The 27,072-nt window shown below is 46.7% G+C and overlaps 1 protein-coding gene and 1 pseudogene across 2 annotated transcripts in view, besides 10 other annotated features; one reads left to right on the top strand and one right to left on the bottom strand.

Annotated features, from left to right (window-relative positions):
- Positions 2,505-2,634: an enhancer, noted in NCBI's record as "active region_25554". NCBI's record gives its function as "activates an Ori minimal core promoter by ATAC-STARR-seq in GM12878 lymphoblastoid cells {active_cell/tissue: GM12878}" and the evidence as "EXISTENCE:reporter gene assay evidence [ECO:0000049][PMID:35858748]".
- Positions 2,617-2,911: an enhancer, noted in NCBI's record as "tiled region #5898; HepG2 Activating non-DNase unmatched - State 4:PromP, and K562 Activating DNase unmatched - State 4:PromP". NCBI's record gives its function as "activates a minimal TATA promoter and a strong SV40 promoter by Sharpr-MPRA in HepG2 and K562 cells {active_cell/tissue: HepG2 | K562}" and the evidence as "EXISTENCE:reporter gene assay evidence [ECO:0000049][PMID:27701403]".
- Positions 2,617-3,691: a biological region, named in NCBI's record as "H3K27ac-H3K4me1 hESC enhancer GRCh37_chr7:2883249-2884066".
- Positions 2,805-3,134: a silencer, noted in NCBI's record as "silent region_17886". NCBI's record gives its function as "represses an Ori minimal core promoter by ATAC-STARR-seq in GM12878 lymphoblastoid cells {active_cell/tissue: GM12878}" and the evidence as "EXISTENCE:reporter gene assay evidence [ECO:0000049][PMID:35858748]".
- Positions 2,874-3,691: an enhancer, noted in NCBI's record as "H3K27ac-H3K4me1 hESC enhancer chr7:2883249-2884066 (GRCh37/hg19 assembly coordinates)". NCBI's record gives its function as "activates a minimal SCP1, AML or CMV promoter by ChIP-STARR-seq in naive H9 embryonic stem cells {active_cell/tissue: H9 hESC(naive)}" and the evidence as "EXISTENCE:reporter gene assay evidence [ECO:0000049][PMID:30033119]".
- The window catches only part of GNA12 (G protein subunit alpha 12), a 116,204-nt gene continuing 92,129 nt past the window's right edge, over positions 2,998-27,072 (top strand). For both annotated transcript variants that reach the window (NM_001293092.2, NM_007353.3), the window contains exon 1: positions 2,998-3,453. In NM_001293092.2, the coding sequence (NP_001280021.1) occupies positions 3,145-3,453 (309 nt within the window). In that variant the 5' untranslated portion in view covers positions 2,998-3,144. The remainder of the gene's footprint in view (positions 3,454-27,072) is intronic.
- Positions 3,475-3,524: a silencer, noted in NCBI's record as "silent region_17885". NCBI's record gives its function as "represses an Ori minimal core promoter by ATAC-STARR-seq in GM12878 lymphoblastoid cells {active_cell/tissue: GM12878}" and the evidence as "EXISTENCE:reporter gene assay evidence [ECO:0000049][PMID:35858748]".
- Positions 7,831-8,000: an enhancer, noted in NCBI's record as "active region_25553". NCBI's record gives its function as "activates an Ori minimal core promoter by ATAC-STARR-seq in GM12878 lymphoblastoid cells {active_cell/tissue: GM12878}" and the evidence as "EXISTENCE:reporter gene assay evidence [ECO:0000049][PMID:35858748]".
- On the bottom strand, positions 11,221-11,697 carry PFDN4P1 (PFDN4 pseudogene 1; annotated as a pseudogene).
- Positions 22,203-22,845: an enhancer, noted in NCBI's record as "NANOG-H3K27ac-H3K4me1 hESC enhancer chr7:2864095-2864737 (GRCh37/hg19 assembly coordinates)". NCBI's record gives its function as "activates a minimal SCP1, AML or CMV promoter by ChIP-STARR-seq in primed H9 embryonic stem cells {active_cell/tissue: H9 hESC(primed)}" and the evidence as "EXISTENCE:reporter gene assay evidence [ECO:0000049][PMID:30033119]".
- Positions 24,920-25,609: an enhancer, noted in NCBI's record as "OCT4-NANOG-H3K27ac-H3K4me1 hESC enhancer chr7:2861331-2862020 (GRCh37/hg19 assembly coordinates)". NCBI's record gives its function as "activates a minimal SCP1, AML or CMV promoter by ChIP-STARR-seq in naive H9 embryonic stem cells {active_cell/tissue: H9 hESC(naive)}" and the evidence as "EXISTENCE:reporter gene assay evidence [ECO:0000049][PMID:30033119]".
- Positions 25,610-26,299: an enhancer, noted in NCBI's record as "OCT4-NANOG-H3K27ac hESC enhancer chr7:2860641-2861330 (GRCh37/hg19 assembly coordinates)". NCBI's record gives its function as "activates a minimal SCP1, AML or CMV promoter by ChIP-STARR-seq in naive and primed H9 embryonic stem cells {active_cell/tissue: H9 hESC(naive and primed)}" and the evidence as "EXISTENCE:reporter gene assay evidence [ECO:0000049][PMID:30033119]".

The raw sequence follows: 27,072 nt of genomic DNA, 5'->3' as shown, positions 1-27,072 counted from the left end.
GACTCAAGCAACCCTCCCACCTCAGCCTCCCACCATACCTGGCTTATTTATAAGGATTTAAAGTTAGTTGTGAGTGCTGTCTGGAGCACTTGCTGAAACTGTTTTGTGAATCAGTTTTTCTTAATTTCTTAAAACTGAATGAGGAATAAACCCTGTGTGAACTGGATGAGCCAAAAACCTGTTCTGAATTCTAGTCCACTCTTTAGTGATTCAAAATTCCCTATTTCTGTCTCAGAAACATTGCTTTCTTTGGATTCTCCAATTTCTCCTCCCTTCTATTTCAATACTAGTGTTTGGCCTTTTTTTTTTTTTTCTTTTTTTTTTTTCTTTTTGAGACAGAGTCCTGCTCTGTTGCCCAGGCTGGAGTGCAGTGGTGTGATCGCAGCTCACTGCCACTTCAGCCTCCTGGGATCAAGCAATTCTCATGCCTCAGCCTCCTAAGTAACTGGAATTACAGGCGTTCACCACCATGCCTGGCTCATTTTGGTATTTCTAATAGAGATGGAGGTTTCACCATGTTGGCCAGGCTGGTCTCAAACTCCTGGCCTCAAGTGATCTGCCCACCTCAGCCTCACAAAGTGCTGGGATTACAGCCTCACAAAGTGCTGGGATTACATGGTGTGAGCTACCATGCCAGACCTAGTATTTGGCCTTCCCGTTTTTGTTTTTTTTTTTTTGTTTTTTTGAGGCAGAGTTTTGCTCTTGTTGCCCAGGCTGGAGTGCAATGGTGCGATCTCGGCTCACTGCAACCTCCGCCTCCCGGGTTCAATCAATTCTCCTATCTCAGCCTCCCCAGTAGCTGGGATTACAGGCGCCCGCCACCACACCCAACCAAGTTTTGTATTTTTTAGTAGCGACAGGGTTTCGCCATGTTGGCCAGGCTGGTCCTGAACTCCTGACCTTAGATAATCTGCCTGCCTTGGCCTCCCAAAGTGCTGGGATTACAGGCATGAGCCACCGTGCCCAGCCATATTTGGCCTCCTATGGGAGGTCATTTCCACAAACAAGCAAGACTTTCTAATCATTTTCCAAGGATTACAAAATCTTGACTCATAAGTGATACAAATTCATGGCATGATTTGTAGTATTTGTAGCAAGTGACAAATAATACATATTATGTGCATTCAAGGTTGTCAGGGAGTTGGTTTTTGTTTTGTTTTGTTTCTGAAACAGGGTCTTGCTCCGTTGTCCAGGCTGGAGTACAGTGGCACGATCATAGGTCACTGCACCCTTGACCTCCTGGGCTCAAGTGATCCTCCCACCTCAGCATCTCAAACTGCTGGGACTGTAGTTGTGAGTCACCGTGCCCAGCCTTCTGGGGAGTTTAGATCTGTGACTAAGCAAAAAGAACAAATCTGGAGGCATCACTTTACCTGACTTCAAACTATACTATAAGGCTATCGTCACAAAAACAGCATGGTACTAATATAAAAATAGGCACAGAGACCAATGGAACATAATAGAGAACCCAGAAATGAAGCCAAATACTTACAGCCAACTGATCTTCAACAAAGCAAATGAAAACAAAGTGGGGAAAGGACAGCCTATTCAGCAAATGGTGCTGAGATAATTGGCAAGCCACATGTAGAAGAATAAAACTGGATCCTCGTCTCTCACGTTATACAAAAATCAACTCAGGATAGATCAAAGACTTAAATCTACAACCTGAAACCATAAACATTCTAGAAGATAACATCGGAAACATCCTTCTAGACGTTGGCTTAGGCAAAGACTTTGTGACCAAGAACCCAAAAGCAAATGCAACAAAAACAAAGATAAATAGATGGGACTTAATTAAACTAAAAAGCTTCGGCACTGCAAAAGAAATAATCAGCAGAGTTAACAGACACCGCACAGAGATTGGACTTTGGGGACTCAGGGTAAAAGGTGGGGGGTGGCGAGAGATAAAAGACTACACACTGGGCCAGGCGCGGCGGCTCACGCCTTTAATCTTAAGGGATACCTGAGCTCCTTCTAGGAGGTTCTGATTCAGTAGATCTGGGAGAGTCAAGAATCTGTAATCAGCTGATCTCTATCAAGAGCTGATTTTGGGCTAGCTCACGTGCTAAGTGTTTGGTAAGTTCATGTTCTCAGTTTATATCTTCATGACGATTTGAGCAATGTCAAGCCATAACCAATGTCGTCAATGACACCCCCGTTTTACAGATGAGGAAACGGAAGCTAAGAACATCCAAAAGGGTTTGTTGGGGGGGGTGGGGAAAGCTGCTAAAAAAAGTTATGCAACTAGTACACCTAGTAACTGGTCGACTGGAGATTCCAACTCAGGCCCAGCAACTCCAGACCCCACTCTCTCAATCACTGTGAGACATAAGACTTTTGGGGGAGCTTCTGGTGATTTTAGTGATTAGTCAGCTTTTCGCAAAGCCTCCTAGAAGCCCATGCCACTCTCAAAGGGTGCATGTGTTTGAAATTTATGGCCCATCCCCCTCCAGTGTTTCTGGAAGGAAAATAGTGTAGAAACAAGATCATCGGAGGGAATACGACGAGCAGCTGAACCTCTTATCAGCATTTCCCAGCCTTTGGGCTACTCCGCGAGGTCCTGGTCTCACAGGCGGACCCAATCTGGGAACCAAGGGAGAATCTTTCTGTACACCTGGCACTTCTCGTCACGCCCCGTCCCCCGAACACCCAATCCAAAGCCCGTTGGGCACGTCTGATGTCCACTCAGAGCAATTATAATTGGCCATGGCGGACGATCGCTCCGCCTCCCGGGCGACCCCGCCTCCCTTTCATTCTGAAAGAAAGAACCTCAGCCTGGGCGTCCAATGAGAAGCGCCTTCACCTCAAAGATCCCGCCTCTTTCGGCGTCGACCCCGCCCCGAGGCCGGAAGGGATGCCCGCCTCCCTTGGCGAGATGAGCCAATCGAAGGGCTCTCACGGCCAGATGGACGGCAGCCGGCCCAATCCGCCGGGCCTCACGCGGCGCCGCCCGCCCCTCCGCCGGGCCCGAGTGGCGGCCGGGCGACGAGTGCGGGCCTCGGAGCGACTGCAGCGGCGGCGGCGGACGCGGCCTGAGGCGAGCGGCGGGGCGTGGGGCGGTGCCTCGGCCCGGGCTCGCCCTCGCCGGCGGGAGCGTCCATGGCCCCCGGGCGCCGGCGGGGCGCGGCCGCGGCCTGAGGGGCCATGTCCGGGGTGGTGCGGACCCTCAGCCGCTGCCTGCTGCCGGCCGAGGCCGGCGGGGCCCGCGAGCGCAGGGCGGGCAGCGGCGCGCGCGACGCGGAGCGCGAGGCCCGGAGGCGTAGCCGCGACATCGACGCGCTGCTGGCCCGCGAGCGGCGCGCGGTCCGGCGCCTGGTGAAGATCCTGCTGCTGGGCGCGGGCGAGAGCGGCAAGTCCACGTTCCTCAAGCAGATGCGCATCATCCACGGCCGCGAGTTCGACCAGAAGGCGCTGCTGGAGTTCCGCGACACCATCTTCGACAACATCCTCAAGGTGACGCGCGCCCCCCGCCCAGCACCTGCACCCAGGTGGGCCGGGGCGCTAACCCCCGCCCCGGGCCCCTCCGTGGTCCGCCGCCGCGGGCGGGGACCCCTGGGGCGAGGATGCTGGATCCAGCCCCGCCTGCACCCCACTCCCCCCCGACCCATTCCCCGAGGCCTGCTGGCGTCGTCTCTGCCCCACCCCGTCTCGCCCTTTTTGAGATGGGGTCTCGCTGTGTTTCCCAGGCTTGAGTGCAGTGGCGCCCTCACAGCTCACTGCAGCCTCGACCTCCCAGGCTCAAGCCCTACTCCCTCCTTAGCCTCCCGAAGTAGTGGGATTACAGGCGCGCACCACCAGCCCAGCTAATTTTTAAGTTTTTTTTTGTAGAGATGGGGTCTTGCTGTGTTGCCCAGGCTGGTCTCAGTCTCCTGGCCTCAAGTGATCCTCCTGCCTTGGTCTCCCTCAAGTGCTGGGATTATAGGCATGAGTCATGGCGCCCGGTCTGCCTCTGCCCTCTCTAGGGTGCCTGGGGACCGTGGGAGTGGGAACTCGGGCCAGCTTCTGGGGATGGGGAGTGGGGGCTTGGCACTTAGCCCCCTCCTGGATGTGCCCTAGCAGAATGGTATCTGTCCATTTCCCACTGGAAGATTTGTGGGATAGGAGCCCAACCGGCCGTGCCCTCCGGCTGAGCTTAGAAGAAGAGCAGTGGAGACTGGACGGGAACCAGCCATGAGTCTCTTTTTACTTTTCTGTTTTTTTAGAAAGGCTCTCACTCTCTTGCCCAGGCTGGTCTCAAGCCATCCTCCCACCTGGGCCTCCCAAAGTGCTGAGATTACAGGTGTGAGCCACACTTTCTAATACGAAAACTTCAAATGTATACAAAAGTAGAGAAAATAGTAGATTGACTGTAAAGTACCTACAGCCCAACTAAAGCAGTCATCAATTCTGTGCCAATCCTATTCACCTGTGCCCTCCCCATGGTCTCCAAGCAAATCCAACTTTGTGTAGTTGGATTAGGAAACGTTTTAGGATGTATATGAGTGGCTAAAAGATGAGGCCTCCATGTAAAAACACAACCGCAGTACCATTAGCAAACCTAAACATTAGTAATAGCTCATTATCACCAGATATCCAGTGTTCAGAATTCCTCCATTGTGGCATAATTGTTTTGTGTGACTCGACATGCATTGCAATGAATCTCCAGATTCTCCTGTCTCTTGCTTCCTTTTTTCTCTTCGCCATATTTGTGAAAGAAGCTGTAGAAGTCGGCCAGGTGTGATGGCTCGTGCCTGTAATCCCTGCACTTTGGGAAGCTGAGGCAGGAGGATCACTTGAGGCCAGAAGTTTGAGACCAACCTGGGCAACACAGCAAGACCTCAGTGCCACAAAAATGAACACATTAGTTGGGCATGGTGGAATGCACCTGTAGTCCCAGTTGCTTGAGCGGCTGAGGTAGGAGAATTGGTTGAGCCTGGGAGGTTGAGGCTGCAGTGAGCCATGTTTGGGCCACTGCACTCCAGCCTGAGTGGCAGTGAAAAAAAATAAAAGAACCATAGAGTTGATAAAGTCGGGGTTCCAGTCTCTCAGTACCGTGAGCCTGTGTTAAAGGGCCTCAAGGAAGATCTGGAGGAAACTGATGATGAGGGAACAGTGCAGCCTTGCTTACACCTAGATAGCGTCCTTTGTCCTCCCTCCCTTTTTCCTTCCTTCCTTTCCTTCTTTTCTTTCCTTCCTTTCTTTTCTTCCTCCCTTCCCTTCCTTCCTTTCCTTCCTTTCCTTCCCGCCTTCCTTTTCTTCCTTTCTTTCTACCTTCCTTCCTTTTTTCTTTTCTTCCTTCCTCCCTTCCTTTCTCCCTCCCTCCCTACCTCTCTACCCTTTCCTTGTCCCCTCACCACTTTTTCCCCAGCCCATTTTGGGGAAACCAAGTTAGAGGCGAGGACAATCATCTCAAAGCAGAGTCGGAGAGAAGTTTGCCATGCCAGAAAACCTGCCTGGAGACTAGGTTTTATGGTGCCTGGGAGATTTTAAATTTAGCAAAGCCCCGTAGAAACCTATCGGGTACATTTGTATCACTTACCCATAAGGACTCCTGCCTCAGCCCTAGAGATGAAGTGACTCCTTCCTGGGGTCTCTGTGCTGGAATCCTGGCCTCCAGACTTCCAGGCCAGTATTCGCACTTGACATACTTCTCATGGAAATGTTTCATTTTAATAGAGCTCCTTTAGGATTGTGAAGGGAAGAAAATAATTTGATAAAACACCCTTTTTCATTTTACCTCTTTCCAAGCCTCTCGGTGCGTCAGAGCTCTGGTCAGATACTTCGTGAACTTTGAAGACTAGGTGCCCAGCTTAGCTCACTGGGAGCGTCTGTGTTCAAGTGCATTTGGCTGTCTCAGGGCCTGCCCTGTAACTTCTCTGTTAAAGATCCTGATTTTATTGTTGCTGCTTGCCCAGACCTCAGAACCAGGCAGGCATAAAAGTATAGCAGTTTGACTGTCTCTAGTTTCTTCCAACTCAGTAGATGGAGAAAGTATTTGGAAACATAGAATCTGAAATCTAAATCCCTGTATGAAGTGCGTGTTAGAAAACTCAACCTCCTGGCAGGAGAATGGGGTGAACCCGGGAGGCGGAGCTTGCAGTGAGCCGAGATCGCACCACTGCACTTTAGCCTGGGCAACTCAGCGAGACTCCGTCTCAAAAAAAAGAAAAAGAAAAAAAGAAAACTCAACCTCCTGATGCATAGAAACACTAACTTCCACTGACTTTCTTATCAGCAGAAACAAAATGTGTTAACTGGTATCCTAGTTCTTCTTTCCAGCTTTGTTTTTTACTAATTATAGTTCCATATTAAACTCACTTCATGTGTCGTGACCATTTCAATAACAAGTTAGAAATTCATCTTTCAATTTAAAACCAAAAATCGTTTCCTCCTCTTCAGCCCCCACCCCCGCATTTTTATTCGAACAGATCACTTTGAGAAGAGACTATTTTATTTTTTTATTTTTATTTTTTGAGACAGAGTCTCATTCTGTCACCCAGGCTGGAGTGCAGTGGCAGGATTATGGCTCACTGTGGCCTTGCGTCGCCTCGTGGGCTCAAGCAATCCTCCCACCTCAGCCTCCCAAGTAGCTGGGACTGTAGGTGTGTACCACCACACCCAGCTCATTTTTGTAGAGATGGGGTCTCACTATGTTGCCCAGGCTGGTCTTGAGCTCTTGAACTCAAGCGAACCACCTGCCTCAGCCTCCCAAAGTGCTGGGATTACATGTGTGAAATACTAAACTTGGCCAGGGAAGGGACTTTAAATAAATTGCTCTGCAGTGCCTTTAGTACTGGACATTTGAATGATACCATTTAGAATAATACTTGTGGCTATATAGAGGGTTAGTGTTGACAGGCTCCTTCTAGAGCACGGACTGTGTGCTGTACACATCGTGCCTGATCCTTTCAAATATGGTGTTGAATTTTCATAATGCTTCAGATGGTATTACCTCATTTAGTGAATGAGGAAATTGAGGATAGAGACATTAAAATCTGTTCAAAGTCAGCTACCTAATTAGCAGATGGCAGAGCTAGGAACTAAACATGCCTTTTTTAAAAATTAAACTTTTGATTTTGAGATAATTCTGGAGTCCTATGCAGTTGTAAGAAATAGTAGAGATCCCACATACCCTCTGCCAGCTTTCCCTCAGTGATTATGTTCTGTAGAACTAGATAGCACAATCTTACAACCAGGATATTGACGTCGATACAGTCACGATACAGAGCCTTTCCATCAGAGAAGGACCCTTCATGTTGCTCTTTTGTAGCCACTCTCTCCCCTTCCTGTCCCAGACCCTGGCAGTGAATAATCTATTCTGTTGTTGTTTTGAGACAGTCTTGCTCTGTCGCCCAGGCTGGAGTGCAGTGGCACAATCTCAGCTCACTGCAACCTCCGCCCCGGGGTTCAAGCGATTCTCCTGTCCCAGCCTCCCAGGTAGCTGGGATTACAGGCGCCCACCACCACGTCCAGCTAATTTTTGTGTATTTAGTAGAGACGGGGTTTCACCATGTTGGCCAGGCTGATCCCCAACTCCTGACCTCGTGATCCACCCGCCTCGGCCTCCCAAAGTGCCAGATGTGAGACGCCGTGCCCCGCCTCTGTTCTTTAATTCGATAATTTTGTCATTTCATACATGTCATGGCCAGGTGCAATGGCTCATGCCTGTAATCCCAGCACTTTGGGAGGCCAAGACAGGCAGATTGCTTGAACCCAGGAGTTCAAGACCAACCTGGGCAATATGGTGAAACCCCATCTCTACAAAAAATACAAAAATTGGCTGGGTGCAGTAGCAGGTGCCTGTAATCCCAGCTACTCAGTAGGCTGAGGCAGGAGAATCACTTGAACCTAGGAGGCATAGGTTGCAGTGCACAGAGAGCACGCCACTGTACTCCAGCCTGGGCGACAGAGCAAGACTCCATTTCAAAAACAAACAAATTAGCCGGGTGTGGTGGTGCACACTTGAACCTGGGAGGCGGGTGGGAGGATCACTTGAACCTGGGAGGCAAAGGTTGCAGTGAGCCAACATCGTGCCACTGCACTTTATCCTGGGCGACAGAGTAAGATCCTGCCTCAAAAAAAAAGAAAAGATTTTCCTGTTGTCTCTCTTTTGTTGATTTCTGGTTCGACTCCACTATGGACAGAGAGTATACTGTGTATGGTTTCACTTCTTTTAAATGTATTGGTTTGTTTTCTGGCCTAGGATACGGTCTATTTGGCAGATGTTCTGTGGTCTTTTGTTGGTGAACATCCCGTAAGTACATGATAAACGCGTATGCTCGTTTGGCGGAATGTTCTACATGTGTCAGATCTTGATTGATAGTGGTGTTGAGTTCTATATGCTTGCTGATTGTTCAGTAGTTCTGTCAGTTAAGAGTCCTCAACTATAATTGTGGATTTGTCTATTTCTTCTTTAGCTCTATCAGTTTTTGTTTCCTGTATTTTGAGGTTCTGTTGTGTGGTGCATAAATGTTTAGGATTATTATATCTTGATAGATTAACCTTTTTTATTATGTAATGTCCTTCTTTTTTCTCCAGTAATTTTCTTTGAAGTCTCCATTATCAGATATTTTAATATAGCCACTTATGTTTTTATTAATGCTTTCATAATATATATTTCTCCATTCTTTTAATACCCTTGTTTTGAAGTGAGTTTCATATAGACAGCATATTGTTGCATCATATTTTTTAATCCACTCTTTACATTTAGGGTAAAGTCATTATTATGACTGTTACTATCTTAGAGACAAGGTCTTTTGCTATTGCCTAGGCTGAAGCGCAGTGGCACGATCATGGCTCACTGTAGTCTTGACCTCCTGGACCCAAACCATCCTCCCACCTCAGCCTCCCTAGTAGCCGGGACTACAGATGTGCACCACCACACCCAGCTAATTTTTAATCTATATTTATTTTTTGTAGATAGGGTTCCACTATGTTACTTAGGGTGCTCTTGAATTGCTAGCCTCAAAGCCATCCTCCTGCCTCAGCCAAAGTGCCGAGATTATAGGCATGAGCGATCCTCCCTGGCTGATTTTTTTTTTTTTTTAAGTATAATGCTTTGTATTATTTTCTTGGTAGTTCCCCTAGGTTTACAGTATACATATGTAACTTATCCCAGTCTCCTGGCCAAAGTGCCGAGATTACAGGCATGAACTGTCCTCCCTGGCTGATTGATTTTTTTTTTTAAGTATAATGCTTTGTATTATTTTCTTGGTAGTTGCCTTAGGTTTGCAGTATACATGTGTAACTGATCCCAGTCTCCTGGCCCTGATGTTTTACAGCTTTAAGTGTAGAAACTTTACTTCTGCTTGGGCCCATTTACCCACCCCACTTCACTATAAATGTCTTAGCACTTAACAGACTTTGAATGCCACATCAGGTGGTTTACTTCAGTCATCAACTGTGATTTTAAAAACTCATTAGGAGTAGGAGATTATATTATCTTTTCCCCCCTTTTGACTGAATAAAATTGTCCCTTTTTTTTTTATTACCTATTCTGATGGTCTTCTTTCTGAGGCTCTAAGCCTTCTTCTGTTGTCATTTCCTTTCTGTTTAGAGAACTTCCTTTAGCCATTCTTTAACGATCAGTTTGCTTGCAACAGATTCTCTTAGCTTTCCTTTGTCCAAGAATGCCTGTATTTCCTCTTCATTCCTGAAGGATACCTTCACATTGTTTCAGAAGAGAAATCTACTGTCGTTTGAGTTGGTCTCCTCTCCGAGTTCATGCATTGCTCCTCTCTGGCTGCTTTGAAGAGTTTTATGTTTAGTTTTCAGAAGTTTCATTATGATTTGTCTTGGCACAGGCTTCATCCCATTTATTATATTTGGGGTTTGCTTGGCTTCTTGAATCTGTACATTTATGTCTCTTGCCAAATGTGGGAAGTTTTCAGCCATTATTTCTTGAATGACTATTTCAGTCCCTCTCTCTCATCTCCTTCTGGGACTCTGACATACGGCTGTTAGCACTTTTGTTAATGACCTCCGGGTCTCTGAGACCCTGTGGCCTTGTTGAGTGGGGTTGGAACATCAGCTCCCCTCTGGGCGTTGCTGATTCTAGGGAATGGGAGGGGGTAGCAAAGCGACAGCTAATCCAGCCTTCCCCCCTCCCACCCTCCCATCCCCTCTTTCTGCCTCGTGGTGGGGGTGCACTTCCCCACTGGGCCCTGCTGACACCACCCTGGTGAGGGAATTGGAGCACCTCCTGCTTCTTCCAGGCAGAGAATGGGAGGTGAGATCCCTGCTTGGCCCTGCCAGCACTATTTGACATGCCACTTGGAGCATGTCACCTGGTTCCTTGAGGGTAGAAGATCAATTTCCCCCTCAATTCCACTGAAACCTCAGTGGGTGGTATATGTGGTTTCTCTGCTGATGTTTTCTCTTGTATTTGTTTTTTGTTGTTGTTGAGATGGAGTTTCGCTCTTGTTGCCCGGGCTGGAGTGCAGTGGCGCAATCCTGGCTCACTGCAACCTCCGCCACCCAGGTTCAAGCGATTCTCCTGCCTCAGCCTCCCAAGTAGCTGGGACTACAGGCACGCACCACCATGCCCAGCTAATTTTTGTATTTTTAGTAGAAATGGGACTTCACCATGTTGGCCAGGCTGGTCTCGAACTCCTGACCTCAGGTGATCCACCCGCCTCGGCCTCCCAAAGTGCTGGGATTACAGGTGTGGGCCACCGCACCTGGCCTTCTCTTGTTATTTGGAATAGGACGGGCATTGCCAAAAAGGTCTGCTGTTGTAAGAGCATCCTTTTCTGGGTCCTTTGGCCAAGAACAGGCTCTTCTTGGAGTTCTTTTTCTCTGTACCTTTTGGCTGTTCCAGCTTGGAGGCTTCTGCAGCGCCCATCCTGGGTAAGTAGGAGGCAGTAAGGACACCCAGAGAACTCACTGCCTTGTCATCCCTCAAGTCCTGAGGTCGCTGGGTAGCCTGCCGCCTTCTTTCCACCTGCTTTCTGCACTTGCTGGTTGTGTTACATTCAGAACTTTCTTTTTAGCTGTAAGGGGGCAGACCTGGGAGGAGTAGAGCTGTTACTTTGTGGAAGTCTCCATCATCCTGGTCTTTTTACTCAGTGTCTGGGGCTTTTCCATCTTGATCACAGTTGTGCCTGAATTTGCACATAGGATTTCTGTTAGATAGTGCGAGGACTTCATTACCTCACTCTATCCTCTGCAGTTCATTATTTGAATCTACTAGTTGCTTTGATTTTTTTGTAAAGATTGCCAGTAAGACTTTCTAGTTTATTCTTTTTTTCTTAAACAATAATCAAGTTTATTAAACAAATTTTTTTAAGTATTATAAAATGTTTAACTTTCATCAGCTTCAAGGTTTATGCTGCTCCCAAATTTTGCATACAACTGAACTTTCAAATCTGCTCACACCCACTGAATTGCTTCGACTTTGGATTCTAAGGCGTCAGTTGCTTCTTGCAAATTTTTATTTGCTGCTTCTAACATTTCCTGTGTTTCTTCTTGAGAATGGCTAATGAAGACATCACCGATTTGATAAGGCATCATTAAGCAGTCAGCATCTGCAAGCATGGTACCGTCACGAGCATCTTCTACGTTTTGGAGTTGTTTCTGTTTTACTTCTATTTCTTCCTTCAGCTCTGTGATTCTACTTGTATTCCATGCAAATTTGTTTATCTTTTGTTGCTCTTCGAAAGTAACATTGACATCTTCTGCAGCCGTCTTCTTCATGGTGGCCACCATCTCGGGACTGGAGAACAGCATGAGACAATGGGACTTTGCCCCCAAGCGCGCTCTTGCTCCCTGTCGGCCCAGAATTCCCTGGCAAATACAACCCTGTCTCCACATTCCCTCCCCTTGGACCCATGGCCAATGATCCCTAAAAGCTGGGACACAGGGAGGAAATGTCACCTGGAAGGACTTGGTACATGCCAGTTAAAGGGACCGGCAACCCCCGTGGGCCAACATCAATGGGGGTGTGGGGAACAGCCTAGTTTATTCTTTTTATTTTTCTAATTCTACAGATGATATCTCGTCACTTCCTGACTGGGCTGTCCTTAAAGTTTGTGTATTTGGTGTTCCCGAAGTTGTGTAATAATGCCTCTGGTGGTGGGGTGTGCCTCAGGCTGTTGGAAGACATCAGGCCAGCTTAGATTTATCTCACAGTGCTTCCATTCCCTGACTTATGTGTGATGCGTTAAATCCCAAGAGCGTTTTCATTACTAAATTTCACATCCAGTTAGAAGTGGATAAAATGTTAGCTGTCTGAAGGTTCCTTGTTATATAGACTAGAAGTCCTAACCATCCACATGATTGCATTAGTGTAGCCTTTAGCCACCCCAAGGTAGACTTGTCTTATATGCAGATGTATAGTCACGCATCGCAATGTATAGTCATGCATCGCGATGCATAGTCACGCATTGCTTAACGACTGGGATCCCGTCCAGGAAATGCATCGTTAGGTGAGGTTCTTACGCAAACATCCTAGAGTGGACCTACACAAACCTAGATAATATAGCTGACCGTATACCTAGGCCTATTGCTCCCAGACTGCAAACCTGTACCGCATGTTACTATACTGAATACTGTGGGCCATTGTAGCACAATGGCAAGCATTTATGTATCTAAACATAGAAAACGTGCTGTAAAAATCTGGTGTTATAACCTTATGGGACCACCATCGTATATGTGGTTCATCTTTTACCAAAACATCATTATGCAGTGCGTGACTGTTTGGCTGATTTTAGAAACTTTTTGAAGAATTAGATGATTAGAGTGGGTGGTCTCTTGTTGCCACTGAAACAAAAAGATCAAGTTCAACAAAATCTCCACGGCATTGTGCTAGGTGCTGATGCAGAAGGGATATTCAGTGCATATTGCAGAGCCCCTACTCTCCACTCGCACTCTCAAGCTGGGGAGACAGTTGCACAAGTAACTTTAACATACAGCGTGAATGGATACCATGGTAAATGCCACTGGAGAGGTGTTGCAGGAGGCCAGTGGGAAGATTAATTCTGGCTGAGGTATCTAAAAAAGCCTTATTGAATTGTGATTTGAGCTGGCCTTTGAAGGTTTTGTAGGATTTCAGCAAGTGGAGAAGAATACACAAATGAGAACCATCTTAATGCCTCTACATTTATCAGCTAAGACAGAAAATTCGAATACATAGAGATACTAAAGAATCAGAACTTTCTAGTCCAAAGGAGTGGTTGTAATGTGGTGGCTTTCTTTGGACTGCAGTCGCAGCACTCTAGCTGAAAGCTGTGGGTCTTCTCCCTAGAAAATTCATGTATCTGTGTAGGGTTTCAGGGGAGTGTTTGGACATCCGGAATCCCAAGAGTGGGCCTACTAGTGGCCCATGCACTGCAGGTTAACAGCTTTTGTTGTGGAATATCAAAGATTATGTAAAAATTTTGGAAATTAAATTTTTTTTTTGAAGAATTGTTTGCTGTATCACATGTACTTTTTGCCAGGACGTACGGAACTTTGAAGCAGCCTCCTCTGCTGTTCTGGCCTTTAAGAGTCTCTGTCTTGGGAGTTCAGAAGTGCCTCTTTAGGCTTGATGCTGCGGCGGGTTTGCGTGGCGGCAGAAGCATACATCTGCTTCTGGGGTCTGGAAGCACAGTTTGGTTTTTATGGCCTTGTTGGCAAATTGCATTTAACAGGTTTACCTTATGCTTTGACATACGGGGTTGGTCCTTTCGTAATACCAAAAAACCAAACAAAACAAATGCAAAAACATCTTTTTCCGTCAGCTAACTAAGTCCAGAGAGACTCCTCTGGCCATTTTTGGGGATTCAGAACACATGAGTGATTGGTCTTGTCCCCTGGCTTTCGAGTTTACATGTTGATTATCTTAACGAAATAATTAGGGGGAGCAGGGTTTGACCTTCAGTCATCTGTCATGTGAGATTTGGAAGCCAGCTGTGCTTGATGTGAGATAGTGTTCCGTTGACAGCTCGTAATTATTTTCTGTTCTTACTCAGTTGAGAGTGGGTTCATGGATCGTACCGGTTTTAAATGGAACTGAAGATTTAAACTTCGGCCTTATCTAGAGATGTAATTATAGGGTGATGTTCAAACCAAAGAAGCTGATGTTGTGTAATGGACCTAGGGCTTAACTTGCATCACCTGAAGGGCAGTGCCATCCCATGATGACAGGCCGGCTCATTTCATGCCGTAACTATTATGGTTTGTTTGTACTTAAAAGAAATGGAGGCTTCAAGTGGGCTGGACAGAGCAGCTGCTCAGGACCACCGGATTGCCTTTTAATCCTAAAAGCCGAATGTGAATATTTGTTGCTGACCGTGTGATGGGTTAGTCTTTCTCTCTGTGAGGATAAATGCTCAGGTGTGTCCAGGTTTTGCAGAATGGAAAACATGACTTGTATCCTGTGTTAGCCGTTAGAGAAGCTCATGCTTCTGGTTGATTCTGTTGACCAAATGCATTTGGAACGTCTGCTTTGGAAGTGCGGCATCCAGAGGACAGAGAAGCAGAGGGTGGGAGCTCTTGCAAGCAGCTAGAAAGGTGCTGGAGGGCAGCACATCCAGCCGCTCTGGACGGCAAGGGGAAGAAAACATCCCTGACCCCCACTTTCTTAAGTAGAGACCAAGTAGACGGCACCTCTCTGTGAACGTCAGCATCTATTTTACTGTCTAGTCTGAAGTCCACAGCACCAACTTTGTCACATGGCCCTGTTAAATCAGACCACAGCAGCAGAGAACCAGCTGTAGTGGGTATTTGCTGGTGGAAGTGTGCCAGGCATGGGTAATCAATAGCTACTTAAGCCAAGCCGAACAGAAACTAAGCCCGAGGAACACTGAGACCCGAAGAATCTGTGCTAATTCTCTCGTCACCGTGGTGGAACGTTCCAGTGATGGTGCATGGCGTGGACTCCTCGCAGCCCTCGAGTGCCTGTTTGGGGCAGTCAGTGGAGGTTGCCTGGTCTCAACTGGGAAAGGCCAGGCTAGATGCGGGGTCCACGGGAGGACCTGCTCTGTCGTTCAGAGCTAGGCTTTGTGCTCTGCTGTGTGTATGGTAGTGAGTGGAGGAGACACAGTCCTGGCCTCGTGGAGCTGATTCCTAGTTCACTTCTCTGGGGACAGGAAACACAACGGGAGGACAGGGCATGAGCCGGAACATCACTGGGAAAGTCACTTGGAGGAGAGGGGAGGCCTTGCCTAGTGGAAGAGGCCTTTCGACTGTCCATAAGATGGATGAACACATCCACCTGGACTAGTCTAACGATGTCCTGGGGCCAAAATCAGGGATTTGGGCTGCGGAGAAATTTGTGACAAAACAGTTTGATGCTCAGTCAAGGTGAGATACTGGCAGTCACTGACAACTCCACGGGATGCAAATTACATTCATTTTAAGGTAAAATTTTGCACATCTTTGTAGACAAGATACACAGTATTCCAGGCAAAACCCTTGTGATAAGGGAGTCATTACTTAAAGTCTCACCTGCCTTCCGGTTTCCATTACAGGTAAGAGGGAATAGCTGGTTCAGATGTTTACTTGTATAATACTAAGAACACTTTTAATGTGTGTTTTCCACTCATGCTCAGTTTTATATCTACAATTTTTGGCGCACATGAGGTGACTAATAACTATTTATATTTTTGTGACCACTTGTGTTTTTTTTAAGAAAATGAAGTTCCAGGCGGGGCGCGGTGGTTCATGCCTGTAATCCCAGCACTTTGGGAGGCTGAGGCGGGCGGATCACGAGGTCAGGAGATCGAGACCATCCTGGCTAACACGGTGAAACCCCGTCTCTACTAAAAATACAAAAAAATAACCGGGCGTGGTGGCAGGCGCCTGTAGTCCCAGCTACTCGGGAGGCTGAGGCAGGAGAATGGCGTGAACCCGGGAGGTGTAGTTTGCAGTGAGCAGAGATCGCGCCACTGCACTCCAGCCTGGGCGACAGAGTGAGACTCCATCTCAAAAAAAAAAAAAAAAAGAAAGTGAAGTTCCATAATTTTAGTTTTAGGGTGGGGAGAGGAACTGTTTTTCCCTAAGGTTCTGATGACTTGATTAGATAGATATGGATCGAAAACTCTGTTAAAAGTATGGAGTGATGTGGACCAGGAGGCAAAACTCCCTGGGAGATGAGCTGGTCAGAATTGAGAAATAGAAAACCGGTCATTTACTTTCTTATCAGTACTTATCTGGTATGACCGTAGCACAATGAGACTGTTTTTAAACATACCAGGACTGCTGGAACGCACTAGTTAAAGCAGATGCCTCATGAAAAGTAATCATCTTGGGACAGCAAGTCAACAAATGCCTATTAAGTGTGTGTTTATGTGCTAGGTACTGCAGAAGCTGAGGAGATGAGAAGATGGCCTGGAAGGAATGATACCTTGATACCTTCTCTGTGCATTGGGAGCTTTTGTTTTTTGTTTTTTTTTCATTAATTTTTTTGAGACAGGGTCTTGCTCTGTCACCTAGGCTGATGTGCAGTGGTGCAATCACAGCTCACTGCAGCTTCGACCTCCTGGGCTCAAGTGATCTTCCGACCTCAGCCTCCTGGGTAGCTAGGACACAGGTGCACACCGCCATAGCCCACTTGGCAGGGAGCTTGTGTGTTTGAAGCACCTTATCTGTTATGTCTTTGATCCTCCGAGTAAACCTGTAAGGTCAGGTTGGGCTTTACTCTGATGGGTGGGATTCTCACTTTCCTAGCCTCATGTTTCCTTGCAGAGAGATCTCAGCTACTGTGATTCTCTTGCCTCTCCTGCCATCCCTTATCCCCCTTTGCTCGGGGAAGGAGTGACTTGCTTGACTGGTGGATTTTGGGGAAGGCAGTAAGCAGGTGGGGCTCAGGCCCTGTAGATTCCCTCCAGGTTCTCTCTTTGGGAGCCGCCCTCCCCACAGGGGACATGCCTTCCTCCTGCCAGAGTTGTAGGGCCACCTCCCCTGCGTTTGTCCCACTATGGCAGTGGTCAGGAGCCTACTTGGCTACAAACCCAAAACCAGACTCTTTAGTCAGAAGGCCAGTATTTTCATCTCCATCCACCTGACTCCTGTTTTGATTTCCAAATGGATTCTAGACTGGGAGCAGAGGAAGAAATATTGAGACTCGTATGAGCATGAACACAGCACCCAAGGCAAAAAGAAGATTCTAGGGTGTGTAGTGCATTTCCTGACCCCAGCCCCAGTCCCTTAAGGTAGTATTGAGGCAAGAAAGAGCCATTGCAACCCTAAACATTCTGACACCTTCCCATCTAGAAAGAAACAGACCCAGAGTCGGGAATAGAAGCCGGGGAAAAGTTCGGGGAGAACACTCAAAAGGAAAGGGTCCTTGGTGGAGCCAGGAAGTGTGGAGGCACCCAGAGCTCTGTGCTGACCACAGCTCGAGGCAGGAGTCCACTGGAGGTTGGGACACTTACTAGCTAGCAGGAGAAAATCCACTAGCCCCAGACAAGTTCCCAGCTCTCATCATCTCCCTTTCCTCAGACAGGGATTGAAAGCAGCGTCTGTCTGTCAAACTCTAGCTCTGGTCCAAGAAGACAAACCAGGTAGAAACAGAATCAGGAAAAACTGGCCTCGAGCACGTCTGAGAACAGGCTGGTGGAGGGCTACCACAGGGATGCTGGAAAGGGACAACATGGCAGCTCCGAAACACCGTCCCTAAAGAAAAGAGGGCGAGAGGAAAACTAGCACACAAAAGTCAGATGAAAAACAGGGTAAGAAGAGAAACTATGAAAGAGAAGTAGCCTGTCCAAGAGTGCTCTATATTGTATAAGAATAATAAGTATATAGATGATATAAAACAAGAGCTCCAGGGTATGAGAAAGCATTAACATGAGATGCACAGGGAAATGGCAGAAGTAATAGATTGAAAACTCAGCATCGTCATAGATCTCATAGGTGCATCGGAGACAGGAAGGAACTGAATAGTAATGAACAACGATGCAAGGGGATGTCTCTGAATCCTACCCACTGTCAGCGTCCCCATGGCTGTAGAGTTGGGAGTCAGAGAGACACTGGACTCCTTCAGGCATTTGCACAAAAAACATGAACCTAAACCTCAGTGTTTAAAGAAGCCTTAGTTTTTCTTATCTCTCCGACAGAGGGAAATATGGGTGGAGGATTTCCCAATTCTAGGCTTTCTCCTCCTGTGTGCCTGATTTTAAACTGCCTGGGGCAGGGACCTGTTTGTGAGGGCCAAGAGCAGCAAAGGGCCTTTTGTACGAATAGCTGGTCTCTGCTCTCATGGAGGTGAGCCCTTTGTACTTCATACAATGAGCAGACCATTTTCTTTTTTCTTTTCTTTTTTTTTTTTTCCTGAGACAGGGTCTGGCTCTGTCGCCGAGGCTGGAGTGCAGTGATGTGATCTTGGCTCGCTGCAGCCTCCACCTCCTGGGCCCAAGCCATCCTCTCACCTCAGCCTCCCAAGTAGCTGGGACTGCAGGCAGACACCACCACACCTGGCTCACTTTTAAAAAATTTTTGTAGAGAAAAATTAAGATTTTTGTAGATTTTGCCATGTTGCCCAGGCTGGTCTCAAACTCCTGAGCTCAAGCAACCCACCCACCTTGGCCTCCCAAAATGCTGGGATTACAGGCGTGAGCCACCGTGCCTGGCCAAGCAGGCCATTTTCATATGGGTATATCCACTAAAGAAGACTCCATTGGAGTAGAGGGAAATTTATTTCTTTGACCACCTGCTAAACTGAAGTCACTAGAGCAGGAATAGTTTTGTTTTCCCTTTCCTGGTGTTTTAACGTAGCGTCCTAAGGTAACAGGAGCTAGAGGACTTGGGGGCAGCCACCTGCAGCCAGCTTGGTAGACAACACTTTGATCTTTCCCCAGCTGCGTCCCTGGTACCATATAACAATACCGGCTGGATGTGGAGGCTCATGCCTGTAATCCCAGCAGTTTGGGAGGCCGAGGCAGGAGGATCGCTTGAGCACAGCAGTTCAAGATTACAGTAAGCTAGGATCGTGCCACTTCACTCCAGCCCGGGCTGTTGACAGAGTGAGACCCTGTCTCTGAAAAAATAAAAATAACTATTGTCTACAGCAAACATTAGTTTAGAAACTGCATTGGTGATAGTTATTTTATAGTACAAATCCTTAGGAATATAATTTAGCTGTCCAGTAGTGATTATTTAAAGCCTTTTCTCCCTGTATTCCTCTGCAGTTTTCAGGAAGTTTTCATTTTGAATTGTAGGTGTTTTAATTTCTGGTTTGAATCTTGCTTTACAATTTTTGTAATCTTGAATATTTTTAGAATGTGTAAATATCTGCCAAGGAGACCACAACATCTTCGGCATTTTCTTTTTTAATTGGAAACTTGTCTTGTTTCTTAATTCTTGGTAACTTCAGGAAAAGAGCCACCAACTTGCCTGAGTTCTTTCCTGTTATCTGGAGCAAATTAGAACTCTTCTGGTAAAGTAAGACGCCCTTTTTCTAGTCTTTCATTAATTAAAAAAAATTTTAAATAAAGTATCGGGGGTAGGGAGAATGTTTCAAATGTAGGTGTTTTTGAAGTAGGTTAAAAGACTTCAATCTTGAATTGAGTCTTCTAAAAAAATTTGCGCGATGTTTTTGTAGTTAATTAGCAATACCTCATGATAGATATACATGAATATTTTCTTTGGTATGTTTTTATAATTAGGTGATTCTTTCCTTCATTATAACTCCTTTCTCTGAGTGGTTCTGACATTGGTCCTGCCATCTGCCCTATTCTAAGTCATGTCCTGGTGTCACTGCAGTCAGGAGTCCTGTTCTGTCCTCTGCACTGCTCACGGACCAGCCCAGCCCCACTGTCCTCAGCGTGGTTATGCAGAAGCCACTGTGGTTCCCTTCCAGTCAGTTTGGTGGTTATTCCCTCAGTTTAGGTGCCTTCAGTCCGGGCCACAGTGCTTGAATTCTCACGCGACATCACAGACTTCACCTGACCAGCTGAAGTTTCGTTAATACAACCTTTCTGTTTTCACTCTGTTTTTTAAAATAATCGAGGTAAAATTCACATACCATACAATTAATCATCTGGAAGTGTACATTCAGTAGCATTTAGTACATTCACTGTGTTGTTCACCCACCACCTCTATCAAATTCCAAAACGTTCCAATCACTCCAAAAGGAGATCTGGACACGTTAGTAGTGACTCCCCATTCCCTCCTTCTCCCGGCCCCTGGCAACCACTAATCTGTTTTCTGTCTCCATGAATTTACCTATTCTGAATATTTCATATAAATGGAATCATATAATATGTGACCTTTTGTGTCTGGCTTCCTTCACTTTTTTAAAATTAATATACTTTATCACTTAATTTTAGGTTTACAGAAAAACTGAGCAGAAAATACAGATTTCCCACATACTGCCTGCCTCCCCCACACCAGTTTTCCCCTGTGAGTAACATCTTGCATTAGTGTGCTAGGGTTGGGAAAGTTGTGAGTGAATATGAATATATTATTAACTGAAGTCCATAGTTTGCATTAGGGTTCACTCGTTGTGTTGCATAGTTCTGTGGGTTTTGACAAATGTCTCCACCGTTATGGCATCATTCAAAATAGTTTCACTGCCCTAAAAATCCTCCTTGTTCTACCTGTTCATCCCTCCTTCCCTGTCTCCCCTCAACCCCTGGCAGCCTCTGAGCGTTTACTGTCTCCATCGTTTTTCCTTTTCCAGAATGTCCTGTAGTTGGAATCAGGAATATGTAGCCTTTTCACATGGGCTTCTTTCACTTAGCAATACATATTTAAGGTTTCTGTGTCTTTCCGTGGCATGTTAGTTTATTTCTTTTCATTATGGAGTTGTATACCTTTGTATGGATATACCACACTTTGTTTATCCATTTACCTGCTGAAGGACATTTTGGTGACTCCTAAGTTTTGGCACTTATGAATAAAGCTGTGGTAAACACCTGTGTGCAGGCTTTTGTGTAGACATAAGTGTTCAACTCATTTCAAGTGCAGTTAATTGCTGGATTATATGGTACAAGTATTTGCTTTTGTTGGTTTTTTTTTTTTTTTTTTTGAGATGGAGTCTCACTCTGTCACCCAGGCTGGAGTACAGTGGCGTGATCTCGGCTCACTGCAACCTCTGCTTCCAGGTTCAAGTGATTTTCCTGTCTTAGCCTCCCAAGTAGCTGGGATTACAGGCATCCACCACCAAGCCTGGCTAATTTTTTGTATTTTTAGTAGAGACAAAGTTTCACCATGTTGGCCTGGCTGGTTTCAAACTCCTGACCTCGTGATCTGCCCGCCTGCGCCTCCCAAAGTGCTAGGATTACAGGTGTGAGCCACCGCCCCCGGCCCGAGTATGTTTAGTTTTGTAAGAAACTGCCCAACTGTCTTCCGGAGTTTGCATTCCCAGAGCAGGGAATGAGAGTTCCTGTTGCTCCACTTCCTGGCTACCATGTGGCATTGTCTGTTTTGGATTTTAGCCGCCCTAAGAGGTGAGGAATGGCATCTCAGTATTTTAATTAGCAGTGCCCTAATGATATATGGTGTGGAGCGTCTTTCTATGTGCTGGTTGTCCCCTGGGTGGTGGGAATGCTGGGATGAACGCTGGAATGAGCGTACTCTAAAGACTTGTTCTCTTCAGCTGCCGCAGCTGCTTTGTGTCTGCGGCCCCACCACAGCCGTTTCCCTGGCTTCTCTGTCCTGCATCCTCCTTCTTTCAGTGTCCTGGACGCAAACGCCAGCACACGTTTTCTCAGGCATTTTTCATAAGGCTGCTTTCCTGTTTACAAAACTATAGCGGCCCTCAGCCTCCCATCAGCTCGATACCTTCTCAGCCAGAAATGACCACAGTAGCTGTATGATGGCACAAACGCACTTCTCCTCCTCTCTGAGATAGCTCCCTTCTCTCCAGCACCTCCTTCCCTAGTTTACATCTTCTTCATGGCGTCTTCATATTATGTGAAATGAAAACACACCCCTTTAGGGAAAAGAGGAAAGCGTCTTCATACACTGCTGGGGGCGCACATGCTGGGAAGCTTCTGTCCGCCCCTTCCCGCCCTCTCTCCTGCTTCTGTCAGCTCTCTGCTCTTGGGGTGACCTGTATAGATTGTAGCAGCGAGTGTTGTGCTTTCTGGCTTCTGGTTGGCCAGTGGGAAGTCCTGGCAAGAGCTCGGAGGGAGGGAGGGGAGAGAGTGAGGTTCAGTATTTCTTCTCCCCTCCCACGCCCCAGGATTCCTTCTGTCTTGTTTCTCGGGCTTCCCCCACACCTTTGTGATTAGTTCCTAATTTGAGTGTCCTGCTTGTTTCCTGTTGGGTGCCTGGATTTAGGATGTAAATTGTTGTAACCTGTCTTTTGGTGGCAGTCTGATGTTTAGAGATGGTCATGGAGTCTTGGGTACTACCCAGAGCGAGATCTAGGAGGAGGCAAGCCAGGTGTCTGTCCACCCGCAGGTGCAGACCTCACCCTCACGGGGCCTGAGGGAGAGGGGCCTCCTCCCTTGTCTTTAGTCGGAAAGTGGTTCTTGGACTTCCTGTGCCTGTGGTCACCTGGCCATGCTGTTCAAATGCAGATTCTATTCAGTAGGCCTGGGAGGTCTGTGAGCTCCTAGGTGATGGCTGTGCTGCCACCGGCCCTCAGCTACGCTTTGAGCAGCAGGGATTTTTTTATTGCGGTTTGATTTGCATTGTTAAAATCCTGGAATGACCTAATCGCCACCTGTTGGGGCTGACTGATTGAACTGTGGTGTGTGATGGGCACTACACAGCTTTTAATAAGTCGGTGAATCAGCTGATATTTATCGAGCACCTTCTGTATATCAAGTGCCCGGGATACATCATTGGAAACAAATGCTTGCCATGTAGAGCTTACATTCTAGTGTGGGAAACAGACGATCCACAGGGTAAACAGGCACGTCTTATGAAATGTTAGAAAGCAACAAGTGCTGGGGGCAGGAGAAAGCAGGGCGAGAGCGTGTCCATGTCAGGGGTGGCAGGGAGCCGCCTGCAGAGGTGATGGGGAGAGCACCCCAAGTGCAGAGGCCTCCGCAGACCCAGAGGAGCCAGTGTGATGGCTGTGTAGTGAGGGAGGAGACCCCTGGATGGGCAGAGGCGGGTGCAGGCCACTGGGAAGACGCGGGCCTTAACTCTGTGTGTGAGGGGCTCTTTGTCCCTGAGGATTTCTGCAGAGGAGTGGCAGGATCTGACTTGGACATTCACGGGGTTGCCCTGGCCACCCTCACTGAGGGAGACCAGGTGGACGTGGGGGCAGTGAGAGGCTGTCATCCTGATCTGTGGGACCAGCGTGTTAGGAGTGGAGATGCTGGGAAGCGGTCAGATCCTAGAAATGTTGTGAAAGTGTTGATGTTGAAAATACCATTTTTGAGACAGGCAGACATGGGTGTGATCTGTTCAACTGGAAAAGGAGTCAACTATCTTTTAGGAACCATGTTTTGAATGTGAGCAAAAAGAATGGTGGTGGCATATGGTAATGACACTAACATGTAATGAGCGTTTCTCTCTAATTAAAGGGGATTTATTTTTATTGCCCTTATCTCTGTTTTCTAGAATGCGCATTATTTTCATGGGAAAAAGAGTCTTAGAAAAGACATTGCTTCTTTCTCTAAGTAATTTTACTGCATGATCTTTATTCTATGAAGTTTACTCATTTGCATTGGGTTTTATAGATATTAGTAGGTAGTTTGTGCTTTATTATGTCTGCAACATGCTTTTTTAATTTTTAATTTTTTTTTTAGCTTGCCTAGCCAACTAGAATGAAAGATCCTTTGACATTGAGTATTGCATTTTTATTTTTCCTGTATTCCAGCTTGTAACAGACACTTCCTAAGTGCTTATTGAACGAATTGTTCTAATTCTTTTAAGCAACGACTGGCCTCTTCCCGAACAGTTTTATTTTTCTAAATCTGCAGAGGGTTATTATTAGCATGCTTGAAAGACCAAAGAATGATTGTCTAATTCTTGAAGGTTCTCATTTGTTCTTCCTTATGCCCTCTGTTCCTGTTACCTTCCCCAAGCACTCCTCCTGCATATGCCGTCAAAGTCCTGAATTGGGGCTGCGGTTGAAGTTGGAGTGTCAGAACACGCTTTTGCCCTTACTGCTATCAGCCTTCAGTCAGATAAGTAGCCTTTTTATATAAATAGTTCCCTCTTGTCTCTGTAGAGCTGGGGAAGGCGGGGTCCCTTGGGTTTGTGTGTATGCTGGATGAAGCAGACAGAAGGGTTCTTCAGGGTATGGGGCCGTCTCTGGACTACACCAGGAAGCCTGGAAAAGGCCCTCCAACAAAGCCTGCCATAGATGATGCCTCGGACCCCACGTTTTTAGTTACAAATAATATACAAATAGTTACTGAGAATTAAAGTTACTTTCTTCAAGGCCATCAGAGTGGTTGGTAACTGTAATGTCCCTGAAAGACTCAGTGTCTTTAATCTCCTAAACCATGTTGAATTCCAGTAATGGGAGGCCAGGGAATGGGCAGAGGACTGATAGTGAATCTAGGGAGCACCTTTTTATCACATCTAGGAGGGGGCTGAGCAGACTCTCTTAGGGACTGAGGGGGTTGAGTGTTTATCTCCTTCAACTCCTTTCCAAGTCATTGTCTTTAAATCTTTCTTTTCTTTTGGAAACGGAGTCTTACTCTGTCGCCCAGGCTGGAGTGCAGTGGGGCGATCATAGCTCGCTGCAGCCTTTACTTTCTGGACTCAAGTGATCCTCTCAGTTCAGCCTCCTGTGTAGCTGGGACCACAGGCACGCACCACCACGCCTGGCTAATTTTTCTGTAGAAACAAGGACTCACTATGTTGCCCAGCCTGGTCTCAAACTCCTGGGCTCAAGCAGTCCTCCTGCCCTGGGCTTGCAGTCCTTTTTCTTTTTGTTGATTGAGGCTGATCTCACGCTCTTGGGCTCAAGCAGCCCTCCCACCTTGGCCTCCCAAAGTGCTGGGATTACAGGCGAGAGCCACCACGCTTGGCCCTTCAATCTTTATCAGGGTTTGAGAAGGGGACTTCCATAAGATATGTCTTAGATTGGGGAGGTTAAGAGTGTGCCAGGTCTCAGGCCCACCTAACTCAGAACTACCACTCTTAGTTACTGGACTGTCTACAGATGCTAGTTCCAGTAGGTAGATCTCTGAATTCTGAAGAAATTGCCCAGTGAAGCCTGACATGCAAAACAACCACTCCAGTCGCTGCCGCTGTATGGTTGAAAACGTACGAAGAACAACATCTCGGAGGAGGCATAGCTTCCCACAGAAGCTTCAGAATTTGTAGGTTTAGATAAAAAGTTAAAAGAGAATGGGAAGGCTAAGCACATTCTAACGTTTTTTAGCTAGGTTTGTTAAGAAATGTTGGTGGTAATCTGAATCACCCTTGTTGATGTGTATATCACATTTTACATAGTTCTAGTCATCACATCCTGGAATGTCAGCCTGGGCGGGCATGCGAGGGCCTGGTCTGATTCCCCTGTGTCCCTAGGGCCTGGCACCATGGCAGCACATAGTAGGCATTTGAGTATTTGTTGGATGCATAAATAAATTCTTGTAATAAATACAGGAAAAAGGTCTTAGGGAACTTGAAAGCCAAATTTTAATATTGATGATCTTGTAAACAAAGTATTTTTCATGTTTTAGTAACATGAAGGTCAGGATTCCACTAAGCAGGAATATGGTGTAACCTCATGTTTCCTGGCAACTAGCCCTTTGCTACTAGACTTGCCACAGGAAGGGAAAGAGCTTACCTAGCATTGTTCATCACTGTCTTGCTAAGGTGGAGGAAAACGAGGAGCAGGGAGCTGAGAAAATAGAATAACTGCAGGAGTTTCTCTTGTCCATAGGGCACACCGTTTGGGGTGAATTGTTTTGCTTGGGGCCACCCAGTGAGTTCGTTTGGAGTTGCAAGCCTCGCTTCCTTATATAGAGTCATTGATACAATTGGGGAGTTTCCTGAGTGGATGATTAAAGCAGTTCTGTATTCATTCTTCTCTGTAAGTGCCAACACCTGGCCGTGATTTCTCTGCGGTCAGCTGGAGACTGACATCCATTTTCTCACAGTATTTACGAGGGAAGGGAACCCTGGTTGGTGAATTCATTCTCATGGTCTTTTTGCCCGAGTCAGCAGCAAGACAGTCACCTTGCCACGGGAGGCAGCGTGTCCCTGTGTTGAACAGGCGGAGAGTCTCCCCTCAGGATACAGCAGGAGTGATTGGAATGATTCTGTTTCTCAGCCTGTCTTGCAGAACATCTGTAATCTAAGCGTCATCACAAAAATTCTTAAGCCAAGAATAAGCAGAACATTAACCAGAGAATAATTGATTGGCATCTTTCACCTAGACAACATTTTTGTGAAATGGGAGTGATTCCTGTGGAGTTTTGTCCATGTTGATGAAAACATGGATGTAGGCCGGGCGCGGTGGCTCACGCCTGTAATCCTGGCACTTTGGGAGTCCAAGGCAGGAGGTTTCTTGAAGTCAGCAGTTCAAGACCAGCCTGAGCAACATAGTGAGATCCCATCTCTATCAGAAATTTTTAGAAATTAGCTGGCCATGGTGGTGCATGCCTGTAATCCCAGCTACATGGGAGTCTGAGGCAAGAGGATGGCTTGAGTCCAGGAGCTTGAAAGCTGCAGAGAGCTGTGATTGCACCACTGCATTCCAGCCTGGGTGACAGAGTGAGATCCTGTCTCTAAAGTAAAAAGTTTTAAAAGACACAGTTGGAGTTTCCTCTTTGGAAGATTACAGGGCAGAGGCCAGGGTGGTCAGTGAGTCAGGAGCTGGTGACTGGCCGGTGGGGCAGGTCTGGACAACAAGCAGCTGCCACACTGTGTGTCACTTCCGTGCTCTGTGCTTTACAGCGCTTGGGACTTTCTTTTTCAATTTTTTAGCTTTTTTAATTTTATTTTTTATTTTTTTGTAGCGATAGGTTTTGCATGTCTCCTGGGCTAGTTTCAAGCGATCCTCTCACCTCAGCCTCCCAAAGTGCTGGGATTACAGGCATGAGCCACCATGCCTGGCCTCAGCTTAAAAAAAAAAAAAAAAAAGCTTTATTGAGCTATAACTCACATATCATACCATGCCCTCATTTAAAGCCTACAATTCAGTGGACTTCAGTCTATTTACAGAGCTGTGCAGCCATCACCACAGTCAATTTTTAAAACATTTTCATCACCCCAGAAAGAAACCCTGCAGCCACTGCACATTTTCCTCCT

The sequence above is a fragment of the Homo sapiens genome, chromosome 7, assembly GCF_000001405.40.
Source record: "Homo sapiens chromosome 7, GRCh38.p14 Primary Assembly".
Lineage (NCBI taxonomy): Eukaryota > Metazoa > Chordata > Mammalia > Primates > Hominidae > Homo > Homo sapiens.
This window is presented reverse-complemented; position numbering and strand designations above follow the sequence as displayed.